Source organism: Homo sapiens, chromosome 7 (genome assembly GCF_000001405.40).
Source record: "Homo sapiens chromosome 7, GRCh38.p14 Primary Assembly".
NCBI lineage: Eukaryota > Metazoa > Chordata > Mammalia > Primates > Hominidae > Homo > Homo sapiens.
Window position 1 is genome coordinate 87,913,318 of NC_000007.14, and position 14,107 is coordinate 87,927,424.

The following is a 14,107-nucleotide window of genomic DNA, read 5'->3' on the forward strand; positions in this document are numbered from 1 at the left end:
TATCTGGCACTGCAACTGAAATTGAGACTACTACTTAGTGCAGCTTCTGGTGGTCTACTCATTTTTTATAATCCATATGCATATAGTGGGAATCAACCATTCCTGTATCTTTTAAACATTTAACAGTGGCACTAATTTCCTCCACCAACACCACCCAGTTAAGATATTGTTTTTGATTTATTATTCTGGCTAGAATAATAAATTCTGGCAGTTTAGGGTAGAAGCAGTTTCAAGGTTCCCACTTGGTCTTTTCCAATATATAGGTCTTACTTTGTAGACCAGGGGCACAGTATGAGGGAGTGTATGAAGTAATAAGTATTTCTCTTCTAATAATATATTCAGGGACTGGACAAATGACACATTATCAGACAAATAACTCACTATCAGCCAAACCTTAGCCAGGACTCCATTTATTACATGGCTTTCATATGCCCCCTCTACAATAGGTGCTTTGGGTCCCAGGTATCAATGTCAATTCAGACCTTGTGTCTAACAAATATCTGAGTAGTCCCCTTTTCCCAGTGCACAGTTACCCAAGTAAATGGAGATTGGTACCTTTTGGAAAGGACTAGGAAATAATTACCATGTGCAGTTAAAATGTGTTGCAGGGTCTTTCTCCTGGGGTCATGGCCTGTTCTCTAGTCAGTGGTTTCAACGTTGAAAAATTAACTTAAATCTGGAAACAGAACAAGAGATCATTACTTTTTACTGGAGCAATTGCCCTTAGCCTCCTGAGGCTGACTCATGGTACATATTGAATGATGACCTTATTGGCTATCCATCCGTTTTGCTCCTAAAGATGCTAAGTTCTAATAACCAACTCCATAACCTTCAGAGGATTCAGGCCTCCTCTGGCTGCCCCTTCGACATTGCCACTTATTATGATAATTATGTGCACTTACCTTCTGATACTTGAATGGCACCATCTGGTCTTTATTGTTTCAGGTCTTATCAACCTCACTGCTATTAGTGAGCCTAGTTCTATAATGGCCTTACCTGCCATCGGTTCTGGCACACCGAGGAGAGCCACAACTGCATATTTTAGTACTATTGTTGGCCTTCCTTCTAGGGCATTCTTTATGGCCTTGGTAAGTAGCATACCATCAGGAACTTTCCATGGAATATACTGACCTGGTGGGTTTTTGGATCTTTTTTTTTTTTTTTTTTGGAGATGGAGTTTTGTGCTGTCACCTGGGCTGGAGTGCTGTGGTGCAACCTTGGCTCACTGCAACCTCTGCCTCCCAGGTTCAAGCGATTCTCCTGCCTCAGCCTCCCGAGTAGCTGGGATTACAGGCACCCACCACCATACTTGGCTAATTTTTGTATTTTAGTAGAGATGGATTTCGCCATGTTGGCCAGGCTAGTCTGGAACTCCTGACTTCAAGTGATCTGCCTGCCTTGGCCTCCCAAAATGCTGGGATTACAGGTGTGAGCCACCGCGTCCAGTCCCCAGTCTTAATACAGTATATTCACTCAAATATGTCCATCACTCTTTCTCCACCATCTGTCATGGAAATGTGGCAGTTTTATTTCTCTGAGCATGAGCCATCAATTCTAATATACTGTCAACACGTTCACAGTATATCCTGAGATTCTTCTCAGGGTGTTAAATCCTGTGTCTTTGTAGTCCTCCCAAATCAGTTACTTTCCTTTATCTAACTTGTGTGCAAATCCCCTTGATCAAGTATCCTCAAAATTTAGTACCACATTCACCAAAGTAGATATATTCTGAGTCATAAAAGGAAGTTTACAACACTTAAAAGAATAGAAATAATAAAAAATATATTCTCAGACCACAGTGGAATTAAACTAGAAACAAGTAATAGATATCTAGAAAGCCCCAGGTAGTTATAAATAAAATGGCACACTTCTAAATAACACATGAGTCAAAGACATAGTCTGAAGAAAAATTAAAAATAATTTGCAGTAAATACGTAACAAAATTTTTGGAATGTAGCTAAAGCAAAGTTTGAAGGAAATTTATAGCATTATATGCTTACTTTATTTTTTATCTTTTATCTTTTTAATTTTTTTTTTGAGATGGAGTTTCACTCTTGTTGCCCAGATTGGAGTGCAATGGCATGATCTCAGCTCACTGCAACCTCCACCTCCTGGATTCAAGCGATTCTCTTGCCTCAGCCTCCCAAGTAGCTGGGATTACAGGCATGCACCACCACACCTGGCTAATTTTGTATTTTTAGTAGAGAGGGGGTTTCACCATGTTGGTCAGACTGGTCTCGAACTCCTGACCCCAGATGATCCACCTGCCTTGGCCTTCCAAAGTGCTGGGACTACAGGCGTGAACCACCATGCCCGCCTCTTTAATGTTATTTATTTGAGACAGGGTCTCACTCTGTCACTCAGGCTGAGTGCAGTGGTACAATCATGGCTCACCACAGCCTTGACCTACTGGTCTCAGGTGATCATCTCACCTCAGCCTCCTAACTAGCTAGGACTACAGGTGCCCACCACCACACACGGCTAATTTTTGTATTTTTTGTAGAGGTGGGGTTTCACCATATTGTCCAGGCTGGTCTTGAGCTCCTGGGCTCAAGCAATCCACCTGCCTCAGCCTCTCAAACTGCTAGGATTACAGGCATGAGCCACCATGCCTGGACTATATGCCTATATTAGAAAAGAAGAAAGATCTAAATAATATAAGATGAAGGTCTTTGAGTGGACATAAGTTTTTGACTCATCAGAGTAAATACCGAGGGGCATGATTGTTGTATCATATGGTTAAAGTATGTTTAGTTTTGCAAGAAACTGCCAAACTGTCTTCCAAGGTTGTTGTACTGTTTTACATTCCCACTAGCAATGAGTTGGAGTTCCTGTTACTTCACATTCTTACCAGAATTTGGTTTTGCTGTTTCGGATTTTAGCCATTCTAATGTGTGTAGTGGTATCTGATTGTTGTTTTAATTTGCATTCCCTAATGACATAAGATGTTGAACATCTTTTCATGTTTATTTGCTGCGTGTATACCTTATTTGGTGACGTGTCTGTTCAGATTTTTTGTCCATTTTAAAAATTGTATTGTTTTCTTATTGTTGAGTTTGAGGAGTTCTTTGTATATTTTGGATACCAGACCTTTTTCAGATGCAAATGTTTTCTTCCAGTCTATGGCTTGTCTTTTCATTCTTTTAACGATGTCTTTCGCATGGCAGAAGTTTTTAATTTTAATGAAGTCAAACATCAGTATTTTCTTTTGTGGATCATGTTCTTGGTATTGTGTCTAAAAAATCACCACCAAACTCAAAGCCACCTAGATTTTCTTCTATGTTATTGTCTAGGAGTTTTATAGTTTTGTGTTTACACTTAGGTCCATGGTCCATTTTGAGTTAAAGTTTGTGGAAGATGTAAGGTCTATGTCTATATTAATTTTTTTGCATGAAGATGTCCAGTTGTTCCAGCACCCCTTGCTGAAAAGACTATCCTTTCTTACAATCTTGAATAGGAGGGTGCGAGTAGACACCCTTGGCTTGTTCCTGATCTTAACATAAAATTATCTAGCATCTCACCATTAAGTATGATGTTAGCTTACAGCTACAGCATTTTGTAGATGTTCTTTTTCAAGTTGAGGAATCTCTCCTTCATTTCTAGTTGCTGAGGGTTTTTTTTTTTTTTTATCATGAATTGTGGTTGGATTTTGTCAAATGCTTTTTCTGATTGATATGATCATATTATCTTTCTTCTTTAGCCTGTTGATGTGATGGATTATATTAATGGGAATTAAAATGTTGTACCAAATTTCCCTACCTAGAATAAATCCTTCTTGGTACATGTGACTAACACTCTTTTCTTACATTTTTGGGTACAATTTGCTAATATGTCATTGAAGAGTTTGCATCTATGTTGATGAGACATATTGTCTGTAGTTTTCCTCTGTTTTTGGTGTTAGGGTAATGCTGGTCACATAGAATGAGTTAGGATATATTCTCTTGGCTTCTATTTCCTGGAAGAGGTTACAAAGAATTTGGTATAATTTATTCTTAAAAATATTGGTAGAATTCACTAGTGAAACAACCTGGGCCTGGTGCTTTTCGTTTTGGAAAGTTATAAATTATTTATTTATTTATTTACTTTTTGAGACGGAGTTTCACTCTTGTCGCCCAGGCTGGAGTCCAGTGGCATGATCTCGGCTCACTGCAACCTCCGTCTCCCGGGTTCAAGTGATTCTCCTGCCTCAGCCTCCCAAGTAGCTGGGATTACAGGTGCCCATCGCCATGCATGGCTAATTTTTGTATTTTTAGTAGAGAAAGGGTTTCACCATATTGGCCAGGCTGATCTCAAACTCCTGACCTCAAGTGATCTTCCTGTTTCAGCCTCCCAAAGTGCTGGTATTACAGGCATGAACCACTGTGCCCGGCCTGATTCAATTTATTTAATAGACATAGGCCTATTTCGATTATCTATTTCTCCTTGTGTAAGCTTTGGTATAGTATGTCTTTCAAGGAATCAGTCCATTTCAGCTAGGTTATCAAATTTGGAGACTTAATGTTGTTTATGATAGTTCTTTATTATCCTTTTAAAGTCAATGGGATCAATAGTCATAGCTTGTCTTTCATTTCTGATATTAATAATTTGTGTCTTCTCTTTCTTTTCTTTGTTGACGTGGCTGGAAGTTTGGCAATTTTATTGATATTTTCCAAAACTAGTTGTTGGTTTTATTGATTTTCTCTTTTGATTTCCTATTTTCAATTTAATTGATTTCTGTTCTAATTTTGGTTATTTTTTTCTGCTGCTTACTTGGAATTTAATTTGCCCTTCTTTTTCTAGTTCCCTAAGGTAAACACATATTATTTATTTTAAATATTTATTGTTTTCTAATATATGCATTCAATGCTATACATTTCCCTCTAAGTACTCACTGCACCTCCAAAATTCTGGTAAGTTGTATTTTCATTTTGATTTAGTTCAAAATATTTTAACATTTCTCTTGAGATTTCTTCTCTAACCCATATGTTAATTAAAAGTGTGTTGATAATATCCAAGTATTTTTGAGGTTTTCCAGCTATCATTCTGTTATTGATTTGTAGTTTAATTCAATTGTATAGAAATACAGCCATGTGCCGCATAATGATGTTTCACTCAATGATGAACCACATATATGATGGTAATCCCATAAAATTATAATAGAGCTGAAAAATTCCTATCATCTACTGACATCATAGCTGCCATAATTTTGTAGCACAATTACTTAAATTTTTAATGTTTAGTGCAGCCTAAGTGTACAGTGTTTATAAAGTCTACAGTAGTACATAATAATGTCCTAGGCCTTCACATTCACTCACCACTCACTCACTGACTCACCCAGAGCAACTTTGAGTCCTGTAACCTCCATTCATAGTAAGTACCCTATATAGGTGTACCATTTTTTATCTTTCACATTGTATTTTTACTGTACCATTTCTATGTTTAGATACATAAATATTTACCAATGTATTATAACTGCCTACAGTATTCAGTACAATAACATGATAAACAGGTTTACAGCCTAGGAGCAATAGGCTATACCATGTAGCCTAGGTGTGTAGTAGGCTATACCATCTAGGTTTGTGTAAGTACACTCTATGATATTGTTACATTAATGATGTTGCCTAAGGGTATATTCCTCAGAATGTATCCCCATCATTAAGCAATGCATGACAAGAGATAAAGATCTATACATGAAATAGGCAAGACGTGGCCTGTAGGACACTACTTCAAACATACTCCAAGGAAACTATTTCCCTATTCTCAACCCCCACCCCCACACACATCTCAGAGAAACTGTATTTCCTTTAAACATGTTATCTTTTCAGCATCTTTGCTTTTTACCATTATCATATCTTAGTATATTTATGGATTGCTGCTAGTTCTTAGCAATACAGAAAATAAAAAGTATCTTTTATGTGCAAGATTATACTTAAAAACTTATTTGTTACAAACATAATTTAATTTGTTTTGCTGGCTTAGAAATTATAAAGGCCATAACATTTTAGCTTTTTATACAAACACATTTATATGCATTCATTCTTTCTGGCCAGAATATACATTCATATTTCAAATAGGATTTTTTTAAGTTTCTAAGAACATTTTTTAAACAATGAAAACTTCATATTTTCAGGAGAAGGAAGAGACTCAGTGACATTAATTAGGGAAGAACATTAACCTTCAGCCTCTTATATTGCAATTTCATTTTTGAATTGCCCAACTGATGCCACTGCAAATTCTGCGAGACAGGCAAAAAACTGAGTTCCCAAAGTGTGAGAGGGGAAAACCTGCCTCCGAACACATATCCCTACTGGCGAATATGAAAATCCAGATTACGGAAGAAAGATTTAACCTTATCTAGAGCTGAAACACATTTAGAGAGCTGTGTAAAATATAAAAGTAGAAGCAGCAGCAAGAGCCTTATAGGCACACCCAGTCTCCAGCTTGAGCCCACGGAAACTATCCCTAACTGGATTTTGCAGGGGCCCTCAGGCAAGGAAGACAGCAAAATTAGGGAGGGGTCATAGGGTGAAAGATGCTTCCAGTGAAATTCTGTAATAATTTCAAATGGGTATGAACTATCTTGAACAGAATCCGGGGGGTGAATGGGGAACTGCTGCAGATACAAGTGCAGGAGGCTTCACCAACATTGTGAGCAGACGGAGAGGAGCAAGGCCTAAAAGTCAAGTTTGCTTTCTCACCTGGGAAGCTTACAGCATGGGGAAAGGGCTGAGTTCCATGCACAGGCTTCCTGCATCTAACTAAACTTGGCCCTGTTAGCAGGACACCGCAGAGGCAAGACCAGCCTTGCCAACAACGTGAGAGTTGGGTGAGGTCTTTTGCTACTGGCTATCCCCTACTTCCCTGGTGAACCATATGGCACAGCCGAGGCAGCCATAATCTCCTCTGGAACATAACCCCATCGGTCTGAGAACCACACCCCCATCCCCACAGTGGCCATGGCAAGCACCACCTAAGGAGAGTCTGAGCTCAGACCCGCCTAACCCTGCCTCCACCTGATGATATTTCTCTACCTGCCCTGGTAGCCACACACAAAAGACAAAAACTTGTGGAAGCTTTATGGCCCTGCCCATTGCCAGAGAAACCAGAACACTTACCCTGGTCAACTTACGGCAAGCTTATATTCCCCTACAACTACCGCAGCTGGTGCTCTCTTGAAAGCATCACCTCTTGGTTGGAGGCCAATCAACTCAGGCCATTACAGCAACTCATGACAAAATAACCCTGCTCCCAAGAAGGAGAACACAACAGCTAATACCACTGCCTGAAACATCCTGGCTAACCAGAGGTCCTGAGTCCATCCACGTGACAACTTTACTACTAGAATAACCAGCATTCAAGAAAGCCAGTACACTAAACATACCTACAGCCAAAGATTCTCACAGAGTCACTTTCACTCCCCGCCACCTCCACCAGAGTAGGTGCTGATATCCACAGCTGGGAGAGCCAAAGATGGATGACATCACAGGAGTCTTTGCAGACATTCCACAGCAGCAGCTCAGAGCCTGGTAGCCCCGCCGAGTGGCTAGACCCAGAAGAGCAATAACAATCACTGCAGTTTAGCTCTCAGGAAACCTCATCCCAAGGGGAAGGGGAGAGCACTACGTCAAGGGATCATTCCATGAGACAAAAGAATCTGAACAGCAGCCCTTGAGTTCCAGATTTTTCCACTGAAATAGTATACCCAAATGAGAGGGAACCAGAAAAGTAATTCTGGTAATATGACAAAACAGGGTTCTATATCACCCCTAAAATATCACACTTGCTCCCCAGTAATGGATCCAAACCAAGAAGAAATCTCTGAATTGTCAGGTAAAGAATTCAGAAGGTTGATCATTAAGCTACTCAAGGAGACACCAGAGAAAGGTGAAAACCAACTTAAAGAAATTTAAAAACAATACAAGATATGGATGAAAAATGCTCCAGAGAAATAGATATCATAAAGAAAAAACAACCACAACTTCTGGAAATGAAAGACACACTTACAAAATACACTGGAAAGTTTCAACAATAGACTAGAACAAGTAGAAGAAAAAACTTCACAGCTTGAAGACAAGGCTTTTGAATTAATCAAATCAGACAAAGACAAAGAAAAAAGAATTTAAAAAATTAACAAAGCCGCCAAGAAATTTGGGATTATGTTAAATGACCAAGAATAATTGGTGTTCCTGAGGAAGAATAGAATCTAAATGTTTGGAAAATTTATTTGAGGGAATAATCAGGGAAAACTTCCCTGGCCTCACTAGAGATCTAAACATCCAAATAAAGAAGCTCAAAGAACACCTGGGAAATTCATCACAAAAAGATCATTGCCTAGGCACATACCGTCAGGTTATCTGAAGTCAAGCTAAAGGAAAGAATCTTAAGAGCTATGAGGCAAAAGCATCAGGTAACCTACAAAGGAAAACCTATCAGATTAACAGCTGAAACCTTACAAGCCAGAAGGGATTTGGGTCCTATCTTTAGCCTCTTTAAACAAAATAATTGTCAGTCAAGAATTTTGTATCTGGCGGGGTGCGGTGGCTCACTCCTGTAATCCCAGCACTTTGGGAGGCCGAAGCAGGCAGATCACCTGAAGTCAGGAGTTCAAGACCAGCCTGGGCAACATGGTGAAACCCTGTCTCTATTAAAAATACAAAAAAAAAAAAAATTAGCCGGGTGTTGTGCACACCTGTAATCCCAGCTACTCAGGAGGCTGAGACAGGAGAATCACTTGAACCCAGGAGGTGGAGGTTGCAGTGAGCTGAGATCATGCCACTGCACTCCAGCCTGGGCAACAGAGCCACCAGACTCCGTCTCAAAGGCAAAAAAAAAGAAAGAATTTTGTATCCAACAAAACTAATCTTCATAAATGCAGGAGAGATAAAGTCTTTTTCAGACAAACAAATGATGAGAGAATCTGCCATTTCCAAGCCAGCACTACAAGAAATGGTAGAAGGAACTCTAAATCTTGAAACAAATCTTTGAAATACACCAAAATAGAACCTTCTGAAAGCATAAATCTCACAGGGCCTGTGAAACAATACCACAGTGAAAAATAACCAGGTATTTAGGCAACAACTAGCATGATAAACAGAACAATACCTCACCTCACAATACTAATGTTAAATGTAAATGGCCTAAATGTTCCACTTAAATAATACAGAATGGCAGAATGGATAAAAATTCACTAACCAAGTAAGTGCTGTCTTCAGGAGACTCAACTGACACATAAAGACTCACATAAACTTAAGGGAAAGGGACAGAAAAAGATATTCCATGCAAATGGAAACCAAAAGCAAGCAGGAATAGCTATTCTGGTATCAGTCAAAACAGACTTTAAAACAACAGTTAAAAAAAAAAAAGACAAAGAGGGACATTATATAATGATGAAAGGATCATTCCAACAGAAAATTAGCACAATCCTAAATATATATGCACCTAACACTGGAGATCTCAAATTCATAAGACAATTACTACTAGACCTACGAAATGAGATAGCAACACAATAATGGTGGGTACTTCAATACGCCACTGACAGTACTAGACAGTTCATCAAGACAGAAAGTCAACAAAGAAACAATAGACTTAAACTACGCCCTAAAACAAATGGACTTAACAGATATTTACAGAACATTCTACCCAACAACTGCAGAATATACGTTCTATTTTTTCTTTCTTTTTTTTTTTTTTTTGAGACGGCGTCTCACTCTGTTGCTTAGGCTGGACTGCAGTGGCACAAGCTCAGCTCACTGCAACCTCTGCTTCCTGGGTTCAAGCGATTCTCCTGCCTTAGCCTCCTGAGTAACTGGGACTACAGGCATGTGCCACTACACCTGGCTATTTTTGTATTTTTAGTAGAGACTCCTGACCTCAGGTGAACCTCCCGCTTTGGCTGGGATTACAGGCATGAGCCACCACACCCAGCCAAGAATATACTTTCTATTCATCAGCACATGGAACATTCTCCAAGACAGAACATATGGAGGGACCACAAATAGGTCACAAAACAAGTCTCAGTAAATTTAAGAAAATTGAAATTACAACAATTATCCTCTTAGATCACAGTAGAATAAAACTGTAAATCAACTACAGAAGGAACCCTTAAAACTATACAAATAAAAGAAAATTAAATAATCTGCTCTTGAATGATCTTTGAGTCAACAATGAGATCAAGATGGAAATAAAAAATTATTTGAACTGAACAATAATAGTGACATAACTTATCAAAACCTCTGGGATGCAGCAAAAAGTGGTGCTAAGAGGAAAGTTCACAGCATTAAATGCCTACATCAAAAAGTCTGAAAGAGCACCAATTGACAATCTAAGGTCACATCTCAAAGAACTAGAGAAATAAGAAAAAACTAAACTCAAACCCAGCAGAAAAAAGAAATAACCAAGATCAGAGCACAACTAAATGAAATTAAACAAAAAAATACAAAAGATAAATGAAACAAAAAGCTTGTTCTTTGAAAAGATAAACAAAACTGATAGACCATTAGCGAGATTAACCAAGAAGAGAGAAGATCCAAATAAGCTCAATTAGAAATGAAATGGGAGATATTACAACTGATATCACAGAAATACAAAAGATCATTCAAGGCTGCTATGAATACCTTCACATGCACAAACTGGAAAATCTAGAGGAGATGGATAGTCCTGGAAATATACAACCTTACTAGATTAAATCAGGAAGAAATAGAAACTCTGAACAGACCAACAACAAGTAGTGAGATTGAAACAGTAATTTTTAAAAATAGCCAACGAAAAAAGATCCAGGACCAGGTGGATTCACAGCTGAATTCTATCAGACATTCAAAGAAGAAATGGTACCAATCGGCTGGCTGCAGTGGCTCATGCCTGTAATCCCAACACTTTGAGAGGCCGAGGCGAGCGGATCATGAGGTCAGGAGTTTCAGACTAGCCTAGCCAGCATGGTGAAACCCCATCTCTACTAAAAATACAAAAAAATTAGGCAGGACATGGTGGCTCACGCCTGTAATCCCAGCACTTTGGGAGGCTGAGGTGGGCGGCCAACATGGTGAAAGTCCGTCTCTAAAATACAAAAACTTAGCTGGGCATGGTGGCACATCCCTGTGGTCCTGCCTACTCGAGAGGCTGAGGCAGGAGAATTGCTTGAATCTGGTAGGCGGAGGTTGCAGGAAGCTGAGATCACACCACTGCACTCCAGTTTGGGCGACAGAGCAAGACTGTCTCAAAAAAATTATCTAAAATAAAAAAAGAAATGGTACCAATCTTACTGAAACGATTTCAAAAAAGAAAGAAAGAGGGAATCCTCCCTACATCATTCTTTATGCCAGTATCACCCTAATACCAAAACCAGGGAAGGACATAACAAAAAAAGAAAACTACAGACCAGACATACCAAAAAAAGAAAATTACAGACAGAGAGGAAAGCAGTAATTCACAAAAGAAATACTTGCCGTTCTTTTATTTCATTGATATTCTATTTTGGTAACTCATAAAATTTAAAATGTAGTTTTCCTTAAGTCTTTAGGCTTAGTTCACAATCTTACTTTTTGTTAAAATAAAAATAAGATCATTACTTTCACTGTTCTTTGATTAATATTCAGTTAATTCATAAATTTGACAGAATAATTTTACCCAACATTAAACACTCTATATATAACTGAGGAAAAAACTTTATAATTTATACTTGTTTTCTCAGATATATCAAGCACCTAACAAGTTAGACTTACAAATTTGACAAAAGATATCTTCTTAACCTCTGCTAACATGTGAATGTTTTTGTCCCCCTGCCTCCAAATTCCTATGTTGAGGCCCTAATGTGGTGGTATTTGAAGGTAGGGCCTTTGGAAAGTAATTAGGTCATGAGGGTCTAGCCTATATGATGGAATTAGTGTCTTTATAAGAATAGGGAGAGAACTAGCACTCTGGGCCATGTGAGAATACAGCAAGAAGGTTGCTGTCCACAAGCTAGGAGTTGGTCCTCACCAGATACTAGATTTGCCACGGCCTTCAATTTGTACTTCCCAGCCTCCAGAACTATAAGAAACAATGTTTATTGTTTAAGTAACTGAGTCTATGATATTTTTGACATGGTAGCCTGAGCTAAGACAGCCTCCTAAAGAAAAAAAAAACCTATTTTAATTTTTATTACATCAAGATGATGTGTTTGGCCTATGCAATTATTTTAAACATTTCAAACATCTTAAAAAATTAAAAATTAGAGTATATGTATAGCAGCACGATCATTATAAAATCTGATCAAGTTCATTTTCCAACGAAGAGAACTGAGTAAAGAATTTGGCTCCATCATATAGCAAAGGAAAGTGAAGAACTTTTCCAGGTCCTAGGGTTCTAATTCTCTTTGACTGTAACTATCACAGAACGTACTGCATTAAAGTCTGTTGTATACTACTGAAATCTTGTTCAGGCTACAATTTCCTGAACAATTCTTAACTGTTTCGCTCATTTTGAAGATTTGGGGAATTTTTTTTGTAATGACAGTAAGCTCAATGAAATTTATTTACCAAAAATATGATAGAATGTCCTCTTAGGCAAGAATTTAGGACAAGGAAGAAAAAAGTTCCTCTCTATTGTTTGCTTGTGAAACAATATCTAAGCTACGTCATTAATTCTGGACACCACACTTTAGCTGGGACATTGACACACTACAGTATATTTTGAGATCATATTGATGATGAAGGAACCTGAAGCCATGTCACATGAGGCAGGGGTTAAAAAGAAAATAGGGAATGAGTAAAACGCCTCCAAAGAGCATCATGTAGAAAATTTTTTGTTATGTTTTACCAAACCAGAATCAGGATCAAGGTGAAGGTTACACAAACCCAGATTTCAACCAGGGAGATATTGTGGAAAGAAACTCAGACCTGAAAGCAGGAGATTTAGGTCCTAGGGTACTTTATTACTCGCCATGGGGTCTGGGGGCAAGTCGTTTAAACTCTGGAACCCAGTGCTGTCTTTCCAATAGAACTTTTCTGCATGATAGAAATGTTCTACATCTTAGCTGTCCAATATAGTAGTTACTAGCTACAGGTTCGGCACTTGAAATGCAGCTAGTTTGGTTGAGGATCTGAATTTTAAATTAAATTAAATTAAATTAAAATAGCCACAAGTAGAATTCTGAGAGATTAGTATGGTGGATAGGAGACAGGACTAGCGTGTAGCTCCCGCTCAGACAGACACAACAGTGTGTGGAGACTCACATTGTGAACTTTTGCTCCAAGAACTACCACAGGAACATACCAGGAAAGCCAAGAGAATCCACAGACCTTTTGAAGGAACTGGATCACTGCTGCAGGCTCCCTGAGACACTGAAAAACTGTGAGTCCGCTTGCTTTCTCAACAGGGAGTCTTGTGGTCTGGGCAAGTTGTCAGCCCTGGTCACTGGCGGCCTGGAAATAGACAGTGCTGTTGTGGGGCCTGGTGGGAGTGAAACCAGCCTTTAGGACTGCAGGCTGTGTGGGAGCAGGGTGAGGTCTGTGATTGCTGGTTTTCCCCTACTTCCCCGGTGACCTGTATGACTCAGCAGAGGCAGCCAGAATCCCCCTGGTAATATAACTTTATGGACTGGGAACCACACCCCCAATACCCCACAGCAGCCACAGCAAGCCCCAACCAAGAAGAGACTGAGCTCAGACATGCCTATCCTTGCACCTACCTGGTGGTCTTTCTCTACCCTCCCTGGCAGCTAAAGACAAAGGTCATAATCTCTTGAGAGCATGATGGCCCTGCCCACTGCCTGTGAAACCTGAATACTTAACCAGGTGTCCCTAGGGCAAAGTTTGCATCTTCCCTGTAGGACTGCAGCTGATGTGCTCTTGAAAGCGCCACCTCCTGGCTCGAGGCCAACCAACACAAAACCAGTACACTAAACAAAAACACAACCAAGGACCCTCACAGGGTCCACTTCACTCCCCTGCTACCTCCACCAAAGCAAGTGCTGGTATCCATGGCTGCAAGACCTGAAGCTGGATCACATCACAGGACTCTTTGCAGACACTCCCCAGTACCAGCCTGGAGCCTGGGAGCTCTGCAGGGTGGCTAGACCCAGACGGACAAAAACAATCACTACAGTTCAGCTCTCAGGAAGCCCCATTCCTAGGGGAAGGGGGAGAACACCACA

At 39.4% G+C, this 14,107-nt stretch overlaps 1 long non-coding RNA gene across 1 annotated transcript, besides 3 other annotated features; it reads right to left on the minus strand.

Annotated features, from left to right (window-relative positions):
* Window positions 1-394: 394 nt before the first annotated feature.
* Window positions 395-13,415, minus strand: LOC124901690 (uncharacterized). Its single transcript, XR_007060414.1, has 2 exons — window positions 13,254-13,415; window positions 395-676 (listed from the first exon to the last, which is right to left on the minus strand). It is a non-coding gene; the product is annotated as an uncharacterized LOC124901690 (long non-coding RNA).
* Window positions 13,333-13,792: an enhancer, noted in NCBI's record as "active region_26235". NCBI's record gives its function as "activates an Ori minimal core promoter by ATAC-STARR-seq in GM12878 lymphoblastoid cells {active_cell/tissue: GM12878}" and the evidence as "EXISTENCE:reporter gene assay evidence [ECO:0000049][PMID:35858748]".
* Window positions 13,333-14,021: a biological region, named in NCBI's record as "H3K27ac hESC enhancer GRCh37_chr7:87556085-87556653".
* Window positions 13,453-14,021: an enhancer, noted in NCBI's record as "H3K27ac hESC enhancer chr7:87556085-87556653 (GRCh37/hg19 assembly coordinates)". NCBI's record gives its function as "activates a minimal SCP1, AML or CMV promoter by ChIP-STARR-seq in naive H9 embryonic stem cells {active_cell/tissue: H9 hESC(naive)}" and the evidence as "EXISTENCE:reporter gene assay evidence [ECO:0000049][PMID:30033119]".